This window comes from Homo sapiens, chromosome 8 (assembly GCF_000001405.40).
Source record: "Homo sapiens chromosome 8, GRCh38.p14 Primary Assembly".
In the NCBI taxonomy this organism is placed as follows: domain Eukaryota; kingdom Metazoa; phylum Chordata; class Mammalia; order Primates; family Hominidae; genus Homo; species Homo sapiens.
In genome coordinates this window covers 70051305-70077361 of record NC_000008.11, presented here as the reverse complement: position 1 = coordinate 70077361, position 26057 = coordinate 70051305, and the positions used below count along the sequence as shown (strand labels likewise).

At 47.6% G+C, this 26057-nt stretch overlaps 1 protein-coding gene across 1 annotated transcript, besides 4 other annotated features; it reads left to right on the top strand.

Moving 5' to 3' along the window:
- Nucleotides 2465-3311: an enhancer, noted in NCBI's record as "OCT4-NANOG-H3K27ac hESC enhancer chr8:70986286-70987132 (GRCh37/hg19 assembly coordinates)". NCBI's record gives its function as "activates a minimal SCP1, AML or CMV promoter by ChIP-STARR-seq in primed H9 embryonic stem cells {active_cell/tissue: H9 hESC(primed)}" and the evidence as "EXISTENCE:reporter gene assay evidence [ECO:0000049][PMID:30033119]".
- Nucleotides 5157-5886: an enhancer, noted in NCBI's record as "OCT4-NANOG-H3K27ac-H3K4me1 hESC enhancer chr8:70983711-70984440 (GRCh37/hg19 assembly coordinates)". NCBI's record gives its function as "activates a minimal SCP1, AML or CMV promoter by ChIP-STARR-seq in primed H9 embryonic stem cells {active_cell/tissue: H9 hESC(primed)}" and the evidence as "EXISTENCE:reporter gene assay evidence [ECO:0000049][PMID:30033119]".
- Nucleotides 5887-6616: an enhancer, noted in NCBI's record as "OCT4-NANOG-H3K27ac hESC enhancer chr8:70982981-70983710 (GRCh37/hg19 assembly coordinates)". NCBI's record gives its function as "activates a minimal SCP1, AML or CMV promoter by ChIP-STARR-seq in naive H9 embryonic stem cells {active_cell/tissue: H9 hESC(naive)}" and the evidence as "EXISTENCE:reporter gene assay evidence [ECO:0000049][PMID:30033119]".
- On the top strand, nt 6110-25711 carry PRDM14 (PR/SET domain 14). The gene is made up of 8 exons (NM_024504.4): nt 6110-6212; nt 7478-8201; nt 8830-8883; nt 8975-9132; nt 10857-11127; nt 18520-18722; nt 21961-22062; nt 25058-25711. Exons 2-8 carry the CDS (start codon nt 7502-7504, stop codon nt 25283-25285), a joined length of 1716 nt encoding a protein of 571 aa, NP_078780.1. The 5' UTR covers nt 6110-6212; nt 7478-7501; the 3' UTR covers nt 25286-25711.
- Nucleotides 15746-16336: an enhancer, noted in NCBI's record as "OCT4-NANOG hESC enhancer chr8:70973261-70973851 (GRCh37/hg19 assembly coordinates)". NCBI's record gives its function as "activates a minimal SCP1, AML or CMV promoter by ChIP-STARR-seq in primed H9 embryonic stem cells {active_cell/tissue: H9 hESC(primed)}" and the evidence as "EXISTENCE:reporter gene assay evidence [ECO:0000049][PMID:30033119]".
- Nucleotides 25712-26057: the final 346 nt, after the last annotated feature.

Here is a 26057-nt window from a genome sequence, read left to right as displayed (position 1 = left end):
AATGCCAAACTGGCATTTGTCCAAGCCCCATGCAGATGTAATAGAAATACTTTTGGAGAGTCCATAATTGACCCTGATTGTTGATGGGTCAGATCTGCAGACAGAGGCAGGATATGATCAGTCTGACTTTGCCATAACAGATCTCAAATCACCCCTAGAATATGCATCGTTATAGCCCAGATGGCAGAAGCGATTGCTCTCACTGGAGCCTGCCAGCCAGCTGGAGAGAAGAGAGTTAGCATGCTCAGACAGATTAGTCTTGGGGTCATTTATAAAGTCTGGGTGCTCTGGAAACAATGAGGCTGTCTAACTTCAGTGGGGATTCCTATCAAGGTGGAACTTCAAAATACCTTAATGCTACCCAAGGAATAGGTAGTATCTAGGTCTAGAATGATCTAGATGCTAGGAGAAATGCCCTGTCTGATCACTTACCCTAAACAGGGGGCCCTTACAAAAATACTGGTCCATCGAGATAAGAAAAAAATTCCATGACCTTGGAGGGGTTCAAGGCGGCCATTACAGGATGCTAAAATTGGGCCTCCATATCAAAGAAAAAGTACTGAGGCAGATTTGGAGGTAAATACATGAAGATACTCTCTGGTGTTCCCAGGATGGTTTCTTGGAAGCACCAGAGTTTCTCCAGTGGAGAGGGCCTTGCTGAGGTCCCAGGTGGGACCACCCGCCAACACAGGGACACACTGGCTGCCATTGCAGACAACACTGTCCCTACCAGGCACGCCTCACTGGCTGTCAGTATATACTCTTGGCGAAAGCAAGCCATTAAGATGGGCATGGGCAGGAACCAAACTTCAAGGCCCATTTGAACTCCTCTAAATGGGTTTCCAATAATTACCCCTGTGGTGGGACATAAATATGGTTGCTGTTTGCTTTCTTCGGGGTGCCTCAAAGCTTCTCCCCTATCAAAGAGCTAAGCCTCTTGAAATATATAGTGAAGAGCATGTGCTATAAAATTCCATTTACAGGAAGTCAGAACAGGCAAAACCGCATGTCTGGAAGAAGAAAAAAATGGAACAGTTACTGGGGGAGGGAATGGGAACAGGGATTACCTGGGAAGTGACTTGAAGGCGTTTCTGGGGTGTTAAATTCTATATTGTGATAGGGATTGAGGCTACACTTGTTTATACAACTGTCAAAATGTTTTTCCTTTCTTCTTTTTTTTTTTTTTTTTGAGGCAAGTTCTCGCTCTGTAGCTCAGGCTGGAGTGCAGTGGCACGATCACAGCTCACTGCAACCTCCACCTTTCCAGCTCAAGTGAACCTCCCACCTCAGCCTCCCACCTCAGCCTCCCACTGGCATGTCACTACACATGGCTAATTTTTCTATTTTTTGTAGAGATGGTGTTTTGCCATGTTGCCCAGGCTGGTCTTGAACTCCTGACCTCAAGTGATCCACCCACCTCGGCCTCCCAAAGTGTTGGGATTACAGGTGTGAGCCACTGCACCCAGTCAATACTTTTTTTTTTTTTTTTTTTTGAGGCAGGGCCTCACTCTGTCACCCAGGCTGGAGTGCAGTGGTGCCACCTTGGCTCACTGTTACCTCCACCTCCTGGGCTGAAGCCATCCTCCCACCTCAGCCTCCTGAGTAGCTGGGATTACAGGCATGCACCACCATGCCCAGCTAATTTTTGTATTTTTTTGCAGAGACAGAGTTTCATCATGTTGCCCAGGCTGGTCTCCAACTCCTGGACTCAAGGGACCTCCCTACGTCGGCATCTCAAAGTGCTGGGATTACAGGTATAAGCCACTGCACCCAGCCATCAACTGTCAAAATTTATGGTACAGCCAAGATACATGCATTTCATCATATGTAAATTTTACCTTTCAAAAAAAGAACCATAAACAAAATGCTGAATTTGATTTAATGATATGCATGCTGAAGTTCTTTAGTGATGAAGTATGCTGATGTCTGCAGTGACTTCTTACTACTTCTTGGTGAATACTTGGAAGTAAAGCTGTAAGGATACTTACATCTTAGCAAGTGTTCTCTGCAAGACCTGGTGTCTGCTGACATTCCAACCTCAAGCTGTCTCCTGGCACCAGTTCTGTGAATCAGCCAAGCTTCCTCCAGGCTTAAGGCCTTAGCACCAAGGGTTCTGTGGCCCTGGAGTACCACTTGTCCTCATCCCCTTCACCAAGTTCATTTCTACACATCTTTCCAATTTGATAGGTTGGGAGAACCCTCCTGTACTCCCAGCCTAGACTGAGGCTCGTTACTTGTACTACACTTTCTTCCCTCCTTATTGCAGTTCATAGTGACTCATTCATCAAGTATTCACACACATACAGACCTTCTTCATTAGGCTTTTAAGGGGATCAAGACTGCTTTGTTCACAATTGTATTCCCTATGCTTGGCTTGCTGACTGGCTCATCAATAGGCAGGCATTCAAAAGAAACTTTGTTATGTAAATGACTAAAAGGCAATTAGAATACGATTTTACTTCTTATGTGAAAGACAGGCAGCTTTAAAGAATTGGCAATACTCCCAAGGTGTGGTAGCTCACACGTGTAATCCCAGTACTTTGGGAGGCTGAGGTGGGAGGATGGCTTTACACAAGGAATTTGAGACTAGCCTAGGCAATATAGCAAGACCCCCGCCTCTACCAAAAATTAAAAGGTTAGGCGGGTGTGGTGGCACATACCTGTAGTCCTAGCTCCTGGGGAGGCTGACACAGGACAATTGCTTGAACCCAGGAGTTGGAGGCAGTAGTGAGCCGCAATCATGCTGCTGCATTCCAGACTAAGTGACAGAGTGAGGGCCTGTCTCTATGAAAGAAAAAAAAATTTAAGGCCGGGCGTGGTGGCACATGTCTGTAATCCCAGCACTTTGGGAGGCTGAGGCAGGTGGATCACTTGAACTTAGGAGTTTGACATCAGCCTGGGCAACATGGTGAAATCCCTGTCTCTACAAAAAACACAAAATTAGACAGGCTGAGATGAGAGGATCGCTTGAGCTGGGGCAGTTGAGGTGCACTGTAGCCTGGGCGACAGAGTGAGACCCTGTCTCAAAAAAAAAAAAAAGGAATGGCAATATTCGGTATTAGATGAAGCATGGAGAAATAGGCACTTGCCCTCACTGCTGGAGGAAGTATAAATTGGTATGGTTTGAAGTACTTGTTTATTTTGTATTTTTTGAGGCAGAATCTCACTCTGTCACCCAGGCTGGAGTGCAGTGGCGTGATCTTGACTCACTGCAACCTCTGCCTCCTGGATTCAAGCTAGTCTCCTGCCTCAGCCCTCCGAGTAACTGGGATTACAGGCTTGTGCCACCATGCTTGGCTAATGTTCGTATTTTTAGTAGAGATGGGGTTTCACCATGTTGGCCAGGCTGGTCTTGAACTCCTGACCTCTAGTGATCCACCCACTTAAACCTCCCAAAGTGCTGGGGTTACAGGTGTGAGCCACTGCGCCCAGTCTTGAAGTACTTGTTTAAATGATCAGTGTTTATACCTGTTGATCCAGCAACTTCACACCTGGATATTTCTTCTACAAGGCACAGTAGCACAACTATGTATCTGTATCAGTGTTTCTGTACACTGCCAGAAGTATTGAAAAACTGGCAACAACTTAAATACCTTTCAAGAGGAGGCTGATAAACTATGAGCACACCTATAAAATGGAAATTCTGTACCACGCAACCATTATAAAGAATAAATTTGCCGGTGTGGTGGCTCAGGTCTGCCATCCCAGCAATTTGGGAGGCCAAGGTGGGTGGATCCCTTGAGTTCAGTAGTTTGAGATCAGCCTGGGCAACATGGTGAAACCTGTCTCCACAAAAATATACAAAAATTAGCCGGGCTTGGTGGCGCATGACTGTAGTCCCAGCTAGTTGAGGGGAAGGGGCCGGGTGGTGAGACGGGAGGACAGCTTGAGCCCAGGAGGCAGAGGCTGCAATGAGCCAAGATCATGCCACTGTACTCCAGCCTGGGTGACAAAGTGAGACCCTGTCTCAAAATAATAATGATAATACTAAAATAAGGTTAATTCTACTATACTGATAGGGAATGATTACTAGTAGGAGCTAGGCCGTTGCAGAAACGAGTGAAGTATAATCCCATTTTTATTTTTACAAAATCCTACGTAATCCTACACAATCTAAAAGTATAGTGGGTTTTGGTTTGTTTGTTTGTTTGTTTGTTTTTAAGGAATGGGGGTAGGGAGCAAACCAAACTGTTGATCAGGATTATCTCCTAGAGTAGAAATGGGAAGCATGGATTTCAACTTTTCTTTTATCGATTTCTCCCAACTTCTTAAAACAAGCAAGTGTTATTTTAAAATAGTGTCAAATATAGTAAACTCTGGATTCTTTGCAAAACAAACCTCTAAGATAAGGTTTGATATTGCTTCCGCTAAAATAAAGCTACGACACTTCCGTGCACGAAAAAACGGCCTCTTGAGGACCTGCAACCCACAGATCACCCAGGTGCCCCCATATCATTCTTGAAATCCTACCTGTAAAGCCCAGGAGGAAGTATAGCGAATGCCAGTGGGTCTAGGAGCTCTGGGGTGAGCACGCCTCCGGAAGGAAAACGGCAACAGAATTTATTCTGCTTTTCCAAGTAAATGATCCTTCCACAGAGGCACTTGGGACAAGAGGCGACGGGTACTTTTCACGTTTTCGATCTATTGGCTAAGATCCTATCACCTCAAAACAAGGAGACGAGGAAACCCTGGGATCTTGATCCCATTTCGATTGAGAAAACAACACGCTCCTTGCGAAGCGAAACGGGGCTGGCCGCGGGCAGCGCGGAACCACGCGAAGGCGTCGGGGGCGGGCGGGCGCGGGGACCAGGGCCACCCGGTGCAGCAAAGGGGGCAAGCAGGCGGCAGGGCGCGCGGGGAGACAAGGCTGAGTGCACGCCGCCCGCGCCCTCGAAGGCTCTAGTCCCACTCCTTCCTCCCTTCTTGCAGCCCCGCCGCGCCCTGGCGAAGGCTACAGGGTCAGGTTCCCCGCACCGAGGAGCCCAGAAGCCCGGCTGCGGGCGCTCTGAAGATCCGGGACCCCGGCCTCCGTCCCCCGCCAGCTTTAGGGACTCTGGCGGCGTCTCTTAGCCGGGTAGATGTTCCTCCTTTCCCTCTCTCTTCCAAGCCGCTGCCAGGCCGGGGGTGAGGCTGCACCTCAGTCTTCAGCCCCGAAGGCCGCGCCCGGGGCGGGTCGCTCCCCATTCAGCTAAGAGGAAGCAGCGGCCGGGGGGCAGGCGAGGAACCTGTCCCGGCTCACCCGGCAAGACTGCGTTTCCCCCACCCTCGGCGCTTCTTTCTGTGAATGTGAATGGAACTAAGCGTTCCTTTCTCTCCCTCAATGGCCGGCGAGGAGAATTCAAATGCGGTCTTTGGGCGCTCGGTATGGGTCTGGACCTTGGTTTTCAGAGCCTGCGCGTCCAAGGTCGCTAGCCTTTCCCGAAGGAAGTGACAGCTGCGGCGGCGCGGGAGGCCCATCCTCGGTCGTTTAAAGCCACTTAAGGAATAAAAGCCCCCGAGAGAGCAAAACGACCACCCGAAACCTCGGAAGCGTCGGGGGTGCCGGGCCCAACGCTCCCACGTGTCACTGCCGGGGACTCGCGAGGCGAAGCTTCCCAGCGCTCAAGGCGCTCCCGCCTCGTCCCCAGGTATCAGGAACAGACACCCACCAGGTCCACCAGCGGGTCAGACGCCGCCTTCGGGCAGGCTGGGATCTTCCGAACTGGGAGCGGAGAGTAAGGGGCTCGACCCCGGGACGCGAGTCCGGCCTTCTGGACTCCGGTTCAGGGTGTGTGTGCGCGCGGAGGGGCTTATCTGGGGGCCCTGGGTAGCACACGTGTTCGGTTTTTTTCTCCCCGACTCCGCACGCCTGGAGCGGCAATACTGCCTGCCCTAGAAGGCCAGCGGCGAGTGCTCGCCACTAGGGTCCCAGGGAGGGTTTGGAAAACTGATGAGTTAAGTGAGCGACCCCAGGGGACAGAGGGCGAGTCGAGAGTCGGCCAATGGCTGCGGTGGGCGGGGAGAAGACGACGCGGGGATCTGCGTGGGCCGGGTCAATTCCCTACCCTCGACCTGTCGATGCCCCGCGGCCCCGCCCGCCCTCTTAAGCCTGGCTCAGCCCTCAGGGCCCGCCCGAAGTCTACCGAGCCCGAGTGGCCTACCGAGCCCGAGTGGCCCCGCAGCGTCCAGGAGGCGCCCGCTCCGCGGTGGCGCTCTTGGAGGTGGTGTCGGAGGTAGGCACGGGACAGGACGCGCCTGGGGCCCGGGGCGGTGGTCTTCCAGGGCCGTTGGGGAGGGCGGCAGCACTCGCTGGCGCAGTTCGTTTTGGATGGTCGTTCTGCCCTCTCGGGGGCTTTGAATCCCAAGTTGCAGATCCCTGAGGTCGGAGGAGGCTAGGAGAAGGGCGCCTTTGGAGGATCGGGAGGAGACGGGCCGCTGCCTGTGTCGTGGCTGACCTCTTCTCCTGACCCCGTGTTCTTTAATTTCTGAGTCATGACCCTGCTTGGTTTTCTTATTGGGCTCATTGATCTCAAGACCCGCCGGCCCTGAAGGGGCTTCATTCTTCAGCCTCGGTGAACTTGCTGCCTGTCTATTAAAACGCCATCCTTTCCCGGCGGTGCGGGGGCGGGAGGACTGGCAGTCGCCGAGGCTCTTCGCTCCCACCTGGCCAGGGCTCGTCCACGCGGCTCCCGAGGGGCTACCCCAGGCCCCAATAGTCCTGGTAGAATGATTGGAGTTTCCGAGGAACCCGGGGAATGTGGCGGACGCTGCCCGCGAGGGAAAAGAGGTTCAGGCGGCGCATCCTAGGGCAGCCAAAAGTGGCGCGCCCCTCCCCTGCGGGCAGTCAGGACCGCCAGGACCCGCGGGGTCACACCGCTGGGCCAGAGCAGGTCGCGGGGTCCCTGGACCTGCCCGGGGGCTCTGGGAGCGCGTCTCCATCTGCGCGGTGCGACCCAGGGTCCTCGGCTCTTCCCTCCCAGCCGAGGGCCCAGGAGCGCCTGGAGCTGTCGCTTGCTCCATTGCCCTCCGACCGCCTGCGCTCGGCTCCCGGCCCAGCCCCGAGGTTGGCAGGGCCCCGCGGCTCCCACAGACCCTACCAACGAGTTTTGTAGGACTGAGAAGAAGGAAGGAAAGGGAACTTCAATGGGTTTTGCAGGAACCGGGTTGGGGGCCGAAAGCGGAGAGCGGGTGTGGGAAGGCGGCCGGGCTTAGGGAAGGGGTGCTTGGAGAGGGAAGGGGAAGGCAACACTAACCCGGAATTTAGAGTAGGGCAGGATCCCGGCAGATTTCCGTTTGGGGCTTTTTTGTGTTTGCTTCTATTGCTGTTTTTTCGTTTTGTCTTAATTGTGGGAGCGGGCTGGCGGGATCGGACTGGGGGCGTTTATCCTGTTCCCTTGGATCTGGGGCTGGCTGGGGTGGAGGAGGCTGGTGGGGAGGCGCGGGTCGGACCCCGGGAAGCTCCCGCGCGGTGTCCTCAGCGGCGCCCGCTTTTCTGCAGAGCCGCCGAGCGTGCGGTCCCGGGATGGCTCTACCCCGGCCAAGTGAGGCCGTGCCTCAGGACAAGGTGTGCTACCCGCCGGAGAGCAGCCCGCAGAACCTGGCCGCGTACTACACGCCTTTCCCGTCCTATGGACACTACAGAAACAGCCTGGCCACCGTGGAGGAAGACTTCCAACCTTTCCGGCAGCTGGAGGCCGCAGCGTCTGCTGCCCCCGCCATGCCCCCCTTCCCCTTCCGGATGGCGCCTCCCTTGCTGAGCCCGGGTCTGGGCCTACAGAGGGAGCCTCTCTACGATCTGCCCTGGTACAGCAAGCTGCCACCGTGGTACCCAATTCCCCACGTCCCCAGGGAAGTGCCGCCCTTCCTGAGCAGCAGCCACGAGTACGCGGGTGCCAGCAGTGAAGATCTGGGCCACCAAATCATTGGTGGCGACAACGAGAGTGGCCCGTGTTGTGGACCTGACACTTTAATTCCACCGCCCCCTGCGGATGCTTCTCTGTTACCTGAGGGGCTGAGGACCTCCCAGTTATTACCTTGCTCACCCAGCAAGCAGTCAGAGGATGGTCCCAAACCCTCCAACCAAGAAGGGAAGTCCCCTGCTCGGTTCCAGTTCACGGAGGAGGACCTGCACTTCGTTCTGTACGGGGTCACTCCCAGCCTGGAGCACCCAGCCAGCCTGCACCATGCGATTTCAGGCCTCCTGGTCCCCCCAGACAGCTCTGGTAAAGGGAGTTCACACCATTTGGGAGTCGAATTGGACGGGAATGCAGGCGGGAACGGGAGTGTCCGGGAAGAGGCGCTTCCAGGTGGAGCTGAGGCTGCAGAGTGCGGGAAGGGGGAAGTACCTCCATGAGAGCCAGGGCTGTTCTAGGCTCACTTCTGAGGCCCTGCTTGCTTAACTGCATGACTAAGGTTGGTTTTAGTGAGAGCTGAGGACCAAGAGAGAAATGGTTCCTGCAGCGAACTCCCAGGTAGGTTCAGATTCTATGCTAACATGCAATGACAGCCTTCAGCAGTTCACACCTAACAGTCCCAGCTCAGCTAGCTACGCTGACCTTAGTCAGGCATTACCTCTGATCCTCAAATTCCTTGAATTTGCCTAATGGGGTTAATTACATAAACTTCCATGAGGCTGTTCTGAGTCTCAAATGAGAAATTGTATATGGAATTGTTTACAGTGAAATCGTGTATGAACAGACCATGTAAAATGAGCAGGGAAAAATAGAAACAACAAATAAATATCAAACTGGGATGATGGTTACCTTTAGGGAATTAAGGAGGGAAACACCTCATAAAAGCACTTTATAATGCATTTTTAATGAAAAATTGTTTTAACCTGCCTTTTGCTAGGATCTGATTCTCTTCCTCAAACTCTGGATAAAGACTCCCTTCAACTTCCAGAAGGTAGGCAGGACTCCTTGCATGGATTTCTTTCCCTGAACTAATGCAGAGTCAACTCTCCTCATTCTCTTTTCCTGCCTCGGCTTTCCCCTAGGTCTATGCCTCATGCAGACGGTGTTTGGTGAAGTCCCACATTTTGGTGTGTTCTGCAGTAGTTTTATCGCCAAAGGAGTCAGGTTTGGGCCCTTTCAAGGTAAAGTGGTCAATGCCAGTGAAGTGAAGACCTACGGAGACAATTCTGTGATGTGGGAGGTAAATCTGTTTCTGGTGGGTCTGCTGCTGAAAATGGGGCGGGAGACTAGTCCGGGGAAATCTTGGCCTTTGCCCTTTTGGGAGAGTCCTGGTCAGAGAGAGAGGACATCCAGGGCAGATATCTGTGGTTTGTGTTGCCTGTAAAAGGAAGGAACGGCCAGTGTTTGCTCCATGAGGATAGCACCTCTGCATGAATTCTGTGTTTTGTGGGTGCCTTAAGTCATTTTAGTCTGGAAGATTAGCAATGGAATATACATTTAAAGAATCAATATGTTGTATTATATTTATAGACAAAACTAAATGCTTTAGATATTATAGAGTGCTGAAACTATGCTAAAGAGAATAAAAACAAGTTTTAAAATTCAATATTATTCACCTATAAAATTAGTCAAGGATTAAAAAAAAAATAACCAGATACTCTTCAAGATCTAGTGATGATATATTAGGGATATGCTAGTGGGACTGCAGTTTATTACCTGCAGGAGAAAATTTGTCAGAATGTATCAGATACCTTAAAATGTTCAAAGTCCCTTGACCCTGAATTTCTACTTCTAGGAATATAGTACAGGAAAATAATCTGAAATTGAGGCTATGTGGAATATGTTAATCCTAGGGTTGTTTATAATAACAAAATGTTGGAGACAGCGAAATTGCCAGCAGCAGAGAAAGAAGTAATCTTTCTTTGTTTTTTTTTTTTTGTTTTTTTTTTCTTGAGACGGAGTTTTTGTCTGTTACCCAGGTTGGAGTGCAGTGGCGTGATCTCAGCTCACTGTGACCTCCACCTCCTGGGTTCAAGCAATTCTCTTGCCTCAGTCTTCCGAGTAGCTAGGATTACAGGCATGTGCCACCATGCCCGGCTAATTTTTGTATTTTTAGTAGAGAGGGGTTTCACCATGTTGGCCAGGCTGGTCTCGAACTCCTGACCTCATGATCCGCCTGCTTTGGCCTCCCAAAGTGCGGGGATTACAGGTGTGAGCCACCAGGCCCGGCCTTGAAAGAAATAATCTATAGCTCCATTAATATGCATGAAACCTAACTGGGAGTAAAATATAAAACTATTCAGTTGTGTTTAAGTGGTGGAATTAAATAAAACCTTTTTGTTTCACTTACCTCTGCTTATGAAATTAACATGTGCTCACTATAGGAATTTGGGAAGCAAGAAAGTGATAAAAGTAAGAATCTTTTAGAATATGTCACATTAGGCAGGCTCAGTGGCTTACACCTGTAATTCTAGCACTTTAGGAGGCCAAGGTGGGAGGATCACTTGAACCCAGGAGTTTGAGGCCAGCCTAGGAAAGAGTGAGGCCCTGTCTCTACAAAAAATTTTTTTAAAAAAATTTGCCAGGCGTGATGGTGCATGCCTTTAGTTCCAGCTACTCAGGGGGCTAAGGTGGGAGGATCATTTGAGCCCAGGAATTCGAGGCTACTGTGACCTGTGATTGAGCCACTGCACTCCAGTCTGGGCAACAGAGTGAGACTCTGTCTCTGAAAAAAACAAACAAACCCAATATGTGACATTACCTAGAGAGGTGTCCTTAAACTAACAAATCTATGTTGGCATAAGTAAATTTATAAACTACTTGTAATGACATAAAAATCAGAATGATAGAAGTGTATTTGGTGGACTCAAGTGTGATATTTAGGTTACAAGTATTAAAAAATTTATTTTATAGATTAGACCAAAAAAGAAGTACAATACAAACTTCATGTCTTATTTCATTTAGATCTTTGAAGATGGTCATTTGAGCCACTTTATAGATGGAAAAGGAGGTACGGGGAACTGGATGTCCTATGTCAACTGTGCCCGCTTCCCCAAGGAGCAGAACCTAGTTGCTGTGCAGTGTCAAGGGCATATATTTTATGAGAGCTGCAAAGAGATCCATCAGAACCAAGAGCTCCTTGTGTGGTATGGAGACTGCTATGAGAAATTTCTGGATATTCCTGTGAGCCTTCAGGTCACAGAGCCGGGGAAGCAGCCATCTGGGCCCTCTGAAGGTGAGTGCACACCCTCGCCTTGCCCAATGAGGGCATCCCAGTAGAAGGACTGGGCTCTTTTCCACAAACCCTCCATGCACAGCTCCTCCCTCCTAAAGGCTAATGCAGAGGACTAACCGAGAGTGTCTCTAACCAGGGGGGAATTACCCAGGTGAAGGAAAGCATCCTCAATTTCCCAAAGCTGCGGAAGCTACTCCTATTTATAAAGATATATACTCCTATTTATAAAGACTTGTTCTTCTTCCCTACCTTCCACCCCAAGAGTAAAAGAAAACGTACTAAATGGATGTAACTTCTACCATAGGTGAGCCAGTTTCTGATTCATCTCTGCCCAGGCTAATGTAGCTGAAGTCTAATCACTAGAGCAGTGTTTTTCAAATGGTGGGTTGCAGAGTTGCATGTCTTAGTGGGGTGGGAAATCAATTTAGTGGTCAAGACCCACATTAAAAAAAAAAAAAAGTATAGAGTAGAATAGAAAATATTGATGGGAATCCCTTAAGAGTAAGGATTGTTTTGTGAAATTTCTATTTCACATGGGTATATGTGGGTATGGTGGGTGTCAAGCATAAAATACATTGCCTACTATGGGTCTCAGGCAAGTTTGAGAAATACTGAGCTGGACTCTCACTCTCAAACTTTAATGTGGGAATGAATACCCAGGGATCTTCATGATGCTGGTTCTCATTCAGGGTAGGGGCCCAGGATTTGGTATTTTTATCAACTTGCAGGGAGTGCTGCTGGTCCTGGTCCCTGGTCCACATTCCAGTAGCAAGGGGCGAGGGAACCACCAGCCCACTCTAGGGGTGAGACTTTGGAATTTGCATGTTAAATAAGCTCTCCAAGTGATTTCTATATACACTGAAGTTTAGGAACTACTAATCTAGTAGGTGGGACAAGATAAATGTAAATTCCTGTAAATAAGAGAGAAGGCAGGCCGGATACTGTGGCTCACACCTGTAATCTCAGCACTTTTGGAGGCGGAGATGGGCGGATCACTTGAGGTCAGGACTTCAAGACTAGCCTGGCCAACATGGTAAAACCTCATCTCAGGTCGGGCACAGTGGCTCACGCCTCTAATCCCAGCACTTTGGGATGCCGAAATGGGCAGATCACCAGGTCAGGAGATCAAGACCATCCTGGCTAACGTGGTGAAAACCCGTCTCTACTAAAAATACAAAAAATTAGCGGGGCGTAGTGGCACACACCTGTAGTTCCAGCTACTCAGGAGGCTGAGGCAGGAGAATCATTTGAACCCAGGAGACAGAGGTTGCAATATGCCAAGACCGCACCACTGCACTCCAGCCTGGGCAACAGAGTAAGACTCCGTCTCCAAAAAAAAAAAAAGAGAGAGAGAGAAGGCAAATTATTATGATGTAATAAATGTGTAAGGAGCAGGTTTAAAAAAAAAATGGCCCAGGCGTGGTGGCCCACGCCTGTAATCCCAGCACTTTGGGAGGTGAGGCGGGCGGATCACGAGGTCAGGAGATCATAGCCATCCTGGCTAACACGGTGAAACCTCTTCTCTACTAAAAATACAAAAAAATTAGCCGGGCGTGGTGGCGGGCCCCTGTAGTCCCAGCTACTTGGGAGGCTGAGGCAGGAGAATGGCGTGAACCCAGCAGGGGGAGCTTGCAGTGAGCTGAGATTGCGCCACTGCACACCAGCCTGGGCGACAGAGCGAGATTCCGTTTCAAAAAAAAAAAAAAAAAAAGTAAATTGCATCTGCATGCCTGTTTTCCTGCTAGGCTGAGATGCTTCAGGGCAGGAAATAACCCTAAACACTTTAGTATCTCGTGCTTCTGGATCCCAGTGCGTACTGACTGAGAGGAAGACATTAGAACTAAGCTAGAAAAAGCTGCTTAGGGATGAGATGAAATAAGGCACGTGTAAGAGGGAGAGAGGGAAGGCAATCAGGCTCAGGGAACAGTGAAGCAGAAGGCAAGGAAATGTCCAGAAATTAGGGGGTAAATAATAAGCAGTCATTATTTATCTAATGATAAATAATGAGCAGTCAGCCGTCATTATTTATCTAATGATAAATAATGGTCCCAATGATGAGGGGCTGTCAGGATTGTTTTGGTGAACTATCTTCCTACTCCCCCAGGTATCTTATGTCCATGCTGGGTTCCCCCCGCCACTGAACCATCATAAGCCCTCATTCTGTTGCTTGTTCTGATCGCCTCTGATATCTGCATACAGGTTGAGTATCCTTTTTCTGAAATGCCTGGGACCAGAAGTGTTTTGGTGGGTGGTGTGGGTGTGGGAATGTAGGTGAAGATAGGAATGGAGGCAAAAATGGTTGGGATTCTCTATGATCTGTGGAGCTCTAAGTTGTCTCCTACTTAGCACCAAACCAAGACCTGTTGGTCACTTCCTGAAATGTACCAACTCCTTTCGAAATAAAAGTCAACAGGCTGGGCGTGGTGGCTCACACCTGTAACCCCAACACTTTGGGAGGCCAAGGTGGTTGGGTCACCTGAGGTCAGGAGTTCACGACCAGCCTGGCCAACATGGTGAAACTCCGTCTCTACTAAAATACAAAAAATTAGCTGGGTGTGGTGGTGCATGCCTGTAATCCCAGCTACTCAGGAGGCTGAGACAGGAGAATCGCTTGAACCCAGGAGCAGAGGTTGCAGTGAGCTGAGATGGCGCCACTGCACTCCAGCCTGGGTGACAGAGTGAGACTCCATCTCAAAAAGAAAAATGAAAGAAAGAAAAGTGAACAATGGATTTGAGAAAAGTATCTGCTTAGTAACTGGCAAGATGGTTATTATCCTTTTGAGAAATCATTATTATTTTTTGAGATAGGGTCTCACTCTGTCACCCAGACTGGAGTACAGTAGTGTAATCTAGGCTCACTGCAACCTCTGCCTCCAGGGTTCAGGCATTTCTCCTGCCTCAGCCTCCCGAGTAGCTGGGATTACAGGCATGCACCACCACACCCAGCTAATTTTTGTATTTTTAGTAGAGATGGGGTTTCGCCATTTTGGCCAGGCTGGTCTTGAACTCCTGGACTCAAGTGATCCACCCACCTTGGCCTCCCTAAATTCTGGGATAACAGGCATGAGACACCATGGCCGGCCATTTTTGAGAAATTTTTTCACCGTATGTATCAAATTATTACAATGTTTGTAACTTTGATGTCTCAGTAATACTCTTCTGGAAATCTATTATCGAGAAATAGTCCAAAAGGAAAAAGCTATGCTTATGAAAATTTTTAACTGTGGCACCACTCTTGTGAGTGAAAAATCACAAACAACCTAAATGTTCAGTAGTATAATAATTAAGTAAATGATGATACAGGCTCAGCAGCTCCAATCAAGAAATCCCAAATCCAAAATGCTCTAAAATCTGAAACTGAGCACTGACATATTGCCAAAAGTGGGAATTTCCACACACCAGTACTTGACACAAACTTTGTTTCATGCACAAAATTATTTAAAATATTGTGTAAAATTACCTTCAGGTGGGCCAGGCACGGTGGCTCATGCCTGTAATCCCAGCGCTTTGGGAGGCCGAGGCAGGCAGATCACCTGAGATCAGGAGTTTGAGAACAGCATGACAAACATGGTGGAACCCCGTCTCTACTAAAAATACAAACAAATTAGCTGGGCATGGTGGCAGATGCCTGTAATCTCAGCTACTCAGGAGGCTGGAGCCGGATAATCGCTTGAAACCGGGGGCGGAGGTTGCAGACCGAGCAAGATTCCGTCTCAAAAAAAAAAAAATTACCTTCAGGCTATGTGTATAAAGTATGTATAAAACAAAACATAAATGGACTTTATATTTAGACTTTGGTTCCATCCCCAAGATACCTCATTATGTATATGAAATATTCCAAAGTTCGAAAAAAACCTGAAATCCAAAACACTTCTGGTCCCAAGCATTTCAGAAAAAGGATACTCAACCTATTTGTTATTAACATGGAATAGTATGCCGATATCAGAGGCAATCAGAGCAAGCAACAGAATGAGGGCTTATGATGGTTAAGTGCAGGGGATACCCAGCATGCAGATAAGATACTTGTGTTCCAGTTCTGAACCAAGTGATACCTGATGCTTACAGCATTATTATGAGGACATATATTTTGGACAATGGAGGGAAACTTGTAAACAACTTAATTTGTTGGGAATAATTATAAATGAATGTTAATTTGTTAATCTGTTAATATGAATGGTTTGGATGTGATAAAAAGGAAAGAAAAATTAAAATTCCATTGCATTCTCAAATGAGTTTTTTTCCCCAAAGGCTTTTTGGTGGGGATTGGTGGTAGGTGGGAGCCTTCCTCTTTAAGGTCTTGAGTGGTGAGGGAAGGGTCTAGACTCTATGTGGGCGGGTTATTTGAATATGCAAGCATTCCCCTCTTGTGAGGGAGAGAGGGAATTTGGGTGTGTGTTTTGGGGTGTGGAGGTGTGAAGAGCTAGGGGGAGGGAGGATAGGGAACAAGATAAAATTAGGAAGGATAGGGAACAAGATGAAATTAGGTTTCATTTCTACCTAAGTGGTTGTTCTTAAGCGAACTCAGTATTGAAACTTTATTCTGAATTTTGGTGTGCTTTAGTGCTTAGGTTTGTAAAATTGCTGACCCTCTCTTCCCTTCCCACCCCAGGAAGCAGGAAGGCCAGGTATTTCTGACCAATAAAAATTCTACCTCTGTGCCAAAAAAGTGTCCCAGCACGGGGATTCTGAGAGTATTAGCACCTCAATGAAAGTGATAGACAGAGCAGGGCGATGGATCAGCTTGGGGCTGGCAGTTGCCTTCCTGGTTATTTACTTAATGAATAGTTTATTTCCTTAGCCACCTGTTAAACGTGCCTGGGATGTAGTTGTCAACTAACAAAGCCCCTGATGGACAGCTTCCCTGCTGTCCTGATGCTGAGAAGATTTCTATCTGCAGACTCTTGCATAGACTCACTCTTGGCTGCTCTTCCTCCCTGGGGTCAAACAATGAGATCTCTGTGGTGCATTCATAGTCAAAGCCACTTTATCCTCTGGGATCCAGAGTGTCCTCTGCAGGGATGCTTTTGTAGGTGGCCCCTGTTCTCTCGCCTTCCCCCAACACATAGACACCCCTGGACGTGGGACCTGCTTTGCTAGAGTCTAGCTGCACCCTCTCTAACTTCTCTCCTCCTCCCTCCTCCATTGATAAAAACAGATTTACCTCTCAGTCTTGTCTGCCATTCAGTGATAGTATCACTCACATTGGTAAGACTCGGTAAGTGTTAGAATTAAATTAGTCATCACGGTAACCCTGTGCATTAGGGAAGTCAAGATGCTTTCAACCTTACTCTATACATAAAGATTCTAGCTCTGGAATCTGCCACAAGTTTTGAGTAATGAAGTATAAACTAAGAAGGTCCCTTGAATTGTGTAGAATAGAACAGCACTGTGAGCTGCGGGTGTCCTGGTGACTGCTCTGAGCTTGTAACTCAGGCTGATCTTAAAGGCACAAAGAGAAATAGGTCGGCCTCAGTGCCTCAGTGTATTAACCTTGTAACAAGTGCCAGGCAGGAATGTGTTCAAGAGCTGCAGGGTTGCACTGCCCTTAAATGGGGCTGGTGGAATGGTCTCTTCAACAGTACATATCAAGGAACAAAAGGGAAAGAGAGCCTATAGGTTAAGATATTTAAGAGACATAGCAACCATATACAACATGTAGACTTTGTTTGAAGCCTAATTTGAATGGACTGACCAGAAAGTAATTAAACAAATATATATGTGTGTATATAAATGTGCATATATAAGTACATATATGTTTCTATAAAAGAATAAGAGTTAATCGTTTAGGTATGACAATGTGACAATGACATTATGGTTATGTTTTTTTTTTTTTTTCGAGACAAAGTGTTGCTCTGTTGCCCAGGCTGGAGTGCAGTGGCTCAATCACTGCTCATTGCAGCCTCAACTAACTTCCCCAGGCTCAGGTGATCCTCCCATCTCGGCCTCTGGGACTAAAGGCGTGTGCTATCATGCCCAGATAATTTTTATTATTTTTTTGTAGAGATGGGGTCTTACTATGTTGCCCAGGCTGGTCTCAAACTCCTGGGCTCAAGCGATCTGTCCACTTCAGCTTCCCAGAGTGTTGGGATTATAGGCGTGAGCCACTGCACCTGGCACAATTATGCTTTTTTTTTTTTTTTTGAGATGGAGTTTTGCTGTTGTTGCCCAGGCTGGAGTGCAGTGGTGCAATCTTGGCTCACTGCAACCTGCGCCTCCCAGGTTCAAGTGATTCTCCTGCCTCAGCCTCCCAAGTAGCTGGGATTACAGGCAGGCACCACCACGCCTGGCTAATTTTGTATTTTTAGTACAGACGGGATTTCACCATGTTGGCCAGGCTGGTTTTGAACCCCTGACCTCAGGTGATCCACCTGCCTCAGCTTCCCAAAGTGCTGGGATTATAGGCGTGAGCCACTTTGCCTGGTCACAATTATGCTTTTTAAAAATATGTCATCTTCTAAAGATTACGGTTAGATGTTTTTGAGTCAAAGGATGAATTAGTATTAAAATAATCTACTATGGCGAGCGGTGATATAAATGAAAACAAAATTAGTTACGAGTTGGTCAAAGCTTGGTGTTTGGCACATGAGGGTTTATTACACTATTATTTTCACTTTGGTATGTTTACATTTTTCTGTAATAAAAAGGTTTTTAAAAATTCTCTTGGCGGCCGGGCATGGTGGCTCATGCCTGTAATCCCAGCACTTTGGGAGGCCGAGGCAGGTGGATCACAAGATCAAGAGATCAAGACTGTCCTGGCCAAGATGGTGAAACCCCACCTCTACTAAAAATACAAAAATTAGCTGGGCGTGGTGGTGTGTGCCTGTAGTCCCAGCTACTTGGGAGGCTGAGGCAGGAGAATCACTTGAACCCGGGAGGTGGAGGTTGCAGTGAGCCGAGATCACACCCCTGCACTCCAGCCTGGGTGACAGAGCAAGACTCCATCTCAAAAAAAAAAAAAGAAAAGAAAAGAAAATTCTCTTGACCAGGCACAGTGGCTCACGCATGTAATCCTAGCACTTTGGGAGGCCAAGAGGGGCTGATCACCTGAGGTCAGGAGTTCTAGACCAGCCTGGCCAACATGATGAAACCCTGTTTCTACTAAAAATACAAAAATTAGCCAGGCGTGGTAGTGGGCACCTGTAATCCCAGCTACTTGGGAGGCTGAGGCAGGAGAATCGCTTGAACCTGGGAGGCAGAGGTTGCAGTGAGCCAAGATCGTGCCACTGCACTACAGACTGGGCAATACAGCAAGATTCTGTCTCAAAAAAAGAAAATTCCTCTTGAAGTAGCCAAAGAATTCTTGGCTAAAAATAAATAAATAAATAAATATCCTCTTGAAGGAACTAGGGAGGGAAGTAACTGAAGAGACATTGTGTTTGCTGTGTTTGACAGAGTCTGCAGAAGGCTACAGATGTGAAAGATGTGGGAAGGTATTTACCTACAAATATTACAGAGATAAGCACCTCAAGTACACCCCCTGTGTGGACAAGGGCGATAGGAAATTTCCCTGTTCTCTCTGCAAACGATCCTTTGAGAAGCGGGACCGGCTTCGGATCCACATTCTTCATGTTCATGAGAAGCACCGGCCTCACAAGGTGAGTATTAGGAGGACACATGACCCACCATCACGTTCTCTCTCCCTTCCCAAGCTCCTGAACACGGGGAGTTGCCTTGTAGGTGCTAGCTGCAGGGCTGTGATGCCTGACGGACACCCTCTCTGAAGGAGGAGAGGATAGTATTACGGAACAGGCAGGCGTGAATAGGCACAGCGATGCACATGTGTTAGGATGCAGGTACCCACAGAGGGAGGAACATGGAGGAAGGAGTGTCCACGGCCACCTGGACACGTGGATTATGAAAGATGCACAGAGGTGGCCTTGAGCCAAGTATAGAAGGACAAATGGGGTGTCTGATTTATACTGGTGGCAGGGTTAGTTGGGCAGGAAAGAGTCGAGCTGTTCCAGACAGGAGAGAGCCTGGCATGTGCTCCTGGGGAACTGCGCCTTGTTCCAAATCTGTGCAGGTGTGTTGACAGGTATAGGTAAGAAGGAAGTGAAGGCACGGTCCTTCCAAGGAGCGGAAGGCCTCTACAGTGGGCCGAGGATTTTGTAAGACAGAAAATCAGTAATGACATTACGGAGCCATTCCAAATACCTGGATGCTCTGCTAGGCTTGCTGCAAAAAAGTACAATATTCCCTTGGGCTTAATTAAAAGGAGGACGAGGCTTGGGCACAGATGTATTCTTGCTTGACTGTTGGCCTTGTCGGAACTACCTCAGGCAGCTACGACCTTGAGCCCATTTTCCTGTTTTGAAAACTGAGAATAAAATCATCATAAAATTGTCCTAATTTCTCCCTTCCTTCCTAAGCTTCTGGAAAAGTCATGTTTAATCACTATATTATATACTCCTATAAAATTTGAATACATTTACAGTTATCATGCATTTGTGTAATTCTAAAAGGATTTAAAAATATCAGGACGGTGAAGGTATTTCTCGCTTATTAGACTGGCAAAAGTGAAAACTATCCAGTATTCTGATAGTGAAAAGTTTGAGACTGCATGTTCATCAACACAAAATTGATTATATAAATTATGGCTTACTGGCCAGGCGCAGTGGCTCACGCCTGTAATCTCAGCACCTTGGGAGGCTGAGGTGGGCAGATCACCTGAGGCCAGGAGTTCGAGACCAGCCTGGCCAACATGGCGAAACCCCATCTCTACTAAAAATATAAAAACATTAGCCGGGTGTGGTGGCAGGCACCTGTAGCCCCAGTTACTCTAGAGGTTGAGGCAGGAGAATTGCTTCAACCCCAGAGGCGGAGGTTGCAGTGAGCCGAGACTGTGTCATTGCACTGCAGCCTGGGTGGCAGGAGTGAGACTCCATCCCAAAAAAAAAAAAAAAATATTGTCTTATCAAGCAAAAACCAAATTACAGAAGATGTATAGAATGCTTGCTCTCTTTGAAATTGGAGGCCGGGAGTGGTGGCTCACGCCTAATCCCAGTACTTTGGGAGGCCGAGACAGGTGGATCACGAGGTCAGGAGATCAAGACCATCGTGGCTAACATGGTGAAACCCCATCTCTACTAAAAATACAAAAAATTAGCCAGGCGTGGTGGTGGGCACCTGTAGTCCCACCTACTCGGGAGGCTGAGGCAGGAGAATGGCGTGAACCTGGGAGGCGGAGCTTGCAGTGAGCCGAGATCGCGCCACCGCACTCCAGCCTGGGTGACAGAGCGAGACTCCGTCTCAAAAAAAAAAAAAAAGAAAAGAAACTGGAGGGCTGTCAACCAGGAGGTCAGTAGATGACAGGACTGATGAGGAAGCTGGTGATAGTGAGATGATGGCTTACCCTTCAACAGACGAGGTGCTCTTACAGTACAGTGGAGGAACAATCTTTTTTTTTTTTTTTTTTTTTGAGACAGTCTCACTCTGTTGCCCAGGCTAGAGTACAATGGCATGATCTCAGCTCACTGCAACCTCCACCTCCTACGCTCAAACAATCACCCAACCTCAGCCTCCCAAGTAGCTGAGCTGAGGCTATAAGTGCATGCCACCATGCTCAGCTAATTTTTTGTATTTTTTGTAGAGATGGGCATGTGGTGCGCACCTGTGGTCCCAGCCACTCGGGAGGCTGAGACACCAGAATTGCTTAAACCCAGGAGGCAGAGGTTGCGGTGGGCCGAGATCATGCTACTGCACTCCAGCCTGGGCAACAGAGCGAGGCTCTGCCTCAAAAATAAATAAAAATAAATAAATAAACAAATACAAAGATTTGCTCTCTCCTCTGCCCCATAAGCATGCCTGGAAAGAGGTTGTGAAAGCACAGAAACCTTTCTCAGAGAAAAATTGTTTTTTCTCTTTAGTTAGTGTAATTTCCTTAAAAGTGATGTCAAAACCAAAGGCCTTCTGCTTTATCCCTGGCAAACTCTCGGTGCTTGCACCTCTCTGGTAGTTTACTTCACCTGGTGTAGAATTCCTGAGACAGTTTCGAGAGGAGTTGCCAGGGTCAAGAAACAATATTAATTATTCACAGCGTGTGAACAAAATATTAACCTCTTCATGCAAGTTCAACACGTCTCAGATAATCTGCTACTGTGCATTACCATGTTGGCTTACATGTTCATCGTCACCCCTCCTTGATTTCTAGCTCCTGGTTTCTAGCAGTGTGGAGCACACAGTAGGTACTCTGTAAGTCGTAGATAATTGTTGAGTTAATTGCACAGTACTTGTAGTTTACTCATAGCTCTGTGAGGAAGGCAGAGCAGGTATTTTGCCCATGAGCAAGATCGGGAAACTAAGATTCCAGATTTAACCAATGTTCTGTAGTCACACAGCTACCTGTTGAGAGAGCAGGACTAATTCAGGCCTCTGCCATATACCACAAACCTGTTCAGTTCCCACATTCCACATCTGAAGCAAGAGTTCTCTCAGGTCGGGTGCCGTGGCTCAAGGCTATAATCCTAGCACTTTGGGAGGCCAAGGCAGGAGGATCTGTTGGAGTTCAAGACAAGGCTGGGCAACATAGTGAGACCTCATCTCTACAAAAAAAAATTTTTTAAGTTAGCTGGCTTAGTGGCACGCACCTGTAGTCCCAGTTACTCAGGAGGCTGAGGTGGGAGGATCGCTTGAGCCTGGGAGTTCCAGGCTGCAGTGAACCGTGATTGTGCCACTGCAGTCCAGTCTGGGTAACAAATTGAGATCCCGTCTCAAAAAAAAAAAAAAGAAAAAAATTGGAAAAGAGTTCTTCTCTAACCCCAGGTAAACGCAAGGTTGAAATGGACTTGTTAGAGGAAGGTGTGATTTCAACTATATTTTTCTTTTTCACCTTAGTGTTCTACATGTGGGAAATGTTTCTCTCAATCTTCCAGCCTAAACAAACACATGCGAGTCCACTCTGGAGACAGACCATACCAGTGTGTGTATTGTACTAAGGTAAATGGAACCTCTTACTAAGGGATGTGTCCTGAGCTCTGCTTGAGTGTCTATGGATAAGAACTTGAAACAAAGCCTGGCTTAATGAGTTCTTGGTAAATGTTAGTCAAATATCAGCCCAGTCCTCATTTCCACCCCTAAATATGCTCAAGTTTGCTAAAGATGGTCAAATATAACCAACCTCCTATTGCCAAGCTGGCATTTAGAGTACATGTAATAAAATACATTCCAAATTTATGGGGACCTGATGACCTATTACATAGTATTTAAAAGCACTAGCTGAGTGTGGTGGCTCACACCTATAATCAAATTTTCCATGCATCGGTGGCTTATGCCTGTAGTCCCAGCTACTTGGGAGGCTGAGGCTGGAGAATTGCTTGAGTCCAGGAAGTGGAGGTTGCAGTGAGCCAAGATTGCACCACTGCACACTCCAGCCTGGGTGACAGAGTGAGACACTGTCTCAAAAAAAAAAGGAGGGGGTGGGGAGGCGTGGTGGCTCAAGCCCGTAATCCCAGCACTTTGGGAGGCTGAGGTGGGCAGGTGCCTGGAGATAGGGAGTTCGAGACCATCCTGGCCAGCATGGTGAAACCCCATCTCTACTAAAAATACAAAAATTAGCTGGGCATGGTGGCACGTTCCTGTAATCCCAGCTACTTGGGAGGCTGAGGCAGGAGAATCACTTGAACCCAGAGGCAGAGGTTGCAGTGAGTCAAGATTGTGCCACTGCACTCCAGCCTGAGTGGCAAAGTGAAACTCCGTCTCCAAAAAAAAAAAAAAAAAAAAATCACTATTTCATAGTATTTAAGAACACAAACATGGCCAAGTTTCAAATCCTGCCTCTGGTGCTTACCTAGCTGTGCCACCCTGAGCAAGTCCATGAACTCCTGTTAGTTTCCACATTGATAAACTGGGGAGAATAGTCTTTACCAAGTTGTTGGATAACATCAGTAAAGTATATAAAACTCTTGTAACAGTGCCTGGCATAACATAAAAGTACTACTGGAATGTTAACTGCTATTATTACTACTTTAATCTGTGAAGGATGCTACTGATGTAATTTTCTATAGGAGCATTGCAGAAGCGGCATCTAGTCTATGTTACACAGAATACAGAGTTGTAAAAACAGAGATGAATCATGTGGTTAGAGGTTGCTATAATAGAAACAATAGGTTGACCACGCTTTAGACATATTACACCAAAATAGCTCTATGCTACCCAATGTGCAGTTCGCGGTTAATCATATGTGGCTATTTCAATTAGTAAAGACGAAGTAAAGTTGAAAAATTCCGTTCCCTAGGTTGCATTAGCCACATTTTAAGTGCTCAATGGCTCCATGTGGCCATTGATTTCCAAGATGGACAGCGTGGGTAATGAATATTCCCATTATTGCAGCAAGTCCTGTTGGAAAGCACTGGTATAGATTATGTTTTCAGTCACTGAGTCATTTACGCTTTTTACAGTAAAGCCGTAAAAGGAGTAGAGGCTGTCCTACAGCTACTTCTAAGCCTCTCAAAAGGAATAAAACATTGAGTCTACCAGATTAGAGCAACTAATACCTCCAAAGTGTGTGTCAATAGAATGAAAATAATGGGCATAGAAAAACACCACTGAGCTGGGCGTGGTGGCTCACACCTGTAATCCCAGCACTTTGAGAGGCCAAGGTGGGTGGATCAACCTGAGGTCAGGAGTTTGAAACCAGCCTGGCCGACATGGAGAAACACCATCTCTACTAAAAATAGAAAAATTAGCTGGGCATCATAGTGCACCTGTAATTCCAGCTACTTGGGAGGCTGAGGCACTAGAATCGCTTGAACCTGGGAGGTGGAGGTTGCAGTGAGCCAAGATTGTGCCACTGCACTCCAACCTGGGTGATGGAGTGAGATTCTGTCTCAAAACAAACAAACAAACAAACAAATAAAACAAACCTACAAACCATCTCAAAAAGTTTAAATTAAAAAGAAGAAGAAGAAGAAGAAAACCAGTAAGGCACTGACTTATGCAAAGACACTGGCCGATATTAGCTTCTGGTCGATATTAGCTTCTCTTTCTGTAATGAGGTTTGTCTTGAAGTATGATCCTAGGACCCACATGCATCAGAATTGCTTGTTTAAATGCAGGCTCCTGGGTCTCATGTCAGATTTATTGGGTCACACTCTCTTGGGTGGGGTTGGTAATCTGCTTTTTTTTTTTTTTTTTTTTTTAAAGAGAGGGTCTTGCTCTGTTACCCAGGCTGGAGTGCAGTGGTGCCATCATAACTCACTGCAGCCTTGACCTTCTGGCTCAAGTTATCCTCCCACCTCAGCTTTCCAAATAGCTGGGACCACAGGTACATGCTACCATGCCTAGGTAATTTTTTTACTTTTTGTAGAGGTGAGGTATTGCTATGTTGCCCAGGCTGGCAGTCTGCTTTTTTTTTTTTTTTTTTTTTTTTTTTGGAGACAGAGTCTCACTCTGTCACCCAGGCTGGAGTACAGTGGTGCAATAACGGCTTACTGCAACCTCCGCCTCCTGGGTTCAAGAAATTCTCCCATCTCAGCCTCCTGAGAAGCTGGGATTAAAGGTGCACGATAGCATGCCTGACTAATTTTTGTATTTTTAGTAGAGATGGGGTTTCACCATGTTGGCCAGGCTGGTCTCGAACTCCTGACCTCAGGTGATCCACCTGCCTTGGCCTCCCAAAGTGCTGGGATTACAGGTGTGAACCACTGCGCCCAGCCTGCAATCTGCTTTTTTACAAACTGGACCTCCAGATAATCTAGCCATTGAAGAACCACTGTTCTAACATCCAGTGCTTCTCAAAACTAGCCAGAAGGACACATCAGTGGAGTCCTTTCGGATTAAGGCTACTGATGATGACCAGGAGTGCTCTATGGCCTTAAAACCCAAGGTTCGTCCATAAGGATGAGCAACAGTGAAATTTACCCCTTAGTTTAATTGGTTGTCCAGCTCGTGGAAGTTGACTTTTTCTTGTGTTCTGTATTTCTGTTCTCTGCAGAGGTTCACAGCCTCCAGCATACTCCGCACACACATCAGGCAGCACTCCGGGGAGAAGCCCTTCAAATGCAAGTACTGTGGTAAATCTTTTGCATCCCATGCTGCCCATGACAGCCATGTCCGGCGTTCACACAAGGAGGATGATGGCTGCTCATGCAGCATCTGTGGGAAAATCTTCTCAGATCAAGAAACATTCTACTCCCACATGAAGTTTCATGAAGACTACTAGCCCTGCCAGGCACAATGACTCACGCCTGTAATCCCAGCACTTTGGGAGGCAGAGGTGGGTGGATCACTCAAGTCCAGGAGTTCGAGACCAGCCTGGGCAACATGGTGAAATCCTGTCTCTACCAAAAAAATACAAAAATCAGCTGGGGGTGGTGGCACATGCCTGTGGTTCCAGCCACTCAGGAGGTCGAGGTGGCAGGATGGTTTGAGCACAGGAGACGGAGGTTGCTGTGAGCTGAGATCGCCCCACTGCTTTTCAACCTGGGTGACAGAACCAGACCCTGTCTCAAAACAAAACAAAACAAAAAAAATGAGTAGCCCTCAAGAGTGTGGAGACAATGTAAAAACAAGAGATTCGGATTCTCTCTATTTCCTTTTATGGGTTATAGAAGTCCCTGCAGTTGGCTGTGTGTGGTGGCTCACGCCTGTTATTCCAACACTTTGGGAGGCCCAGATGGGCGGATCAGCTGAGGTCAGGAGTTCAAGACCATGCTGGCCAACATGGTGAAACCCCGTCTCTACTAAAAATGCAAAAATTAGCCTGGTGTGGTGGCACATGCCTGTAATACCAGCTACTTGGGAGGGGAATTGCTTGAACCCAGAGGCGGAGGTTGCAATGATCTGAGAAAAAGGTAGCTTTTTCTCTACTATTTGCCTTGGGCCCCCAATTATACAATGCGGTCATCACGTGTTACATTTCTTTATAGAAAAGATTCTTATACAGAGAGGCAGATCCCAACATGTTACCCAGGCTGGTCTCAAACTCCTGGGCT

Bases quoted from the DNA above. Each gene is read 5' to 3' on its own strand.
- PRDM14 (NM_024504.4), top strand. From the start codon at position 7,502: ATGGCTCTACCCCGGCCAAGTGAGGCCGTGCCTCAGGACAAGGTGTGC. The intron at 18,723-21,960 runs GTGAGTATTAGG...TTTTCACCTTAG, and splicing joins AGAAGCACCGGCCTCACAAG to TGTTCTACATGTGGGAAATG. The intron at 22,063-25,057 runs GTAAATGGAACC...TGTTCTCTGCAG, and splicing joins AGTGTGTGTATTGTACTAAG to AGGTTCACAGCCTCCAGCAT.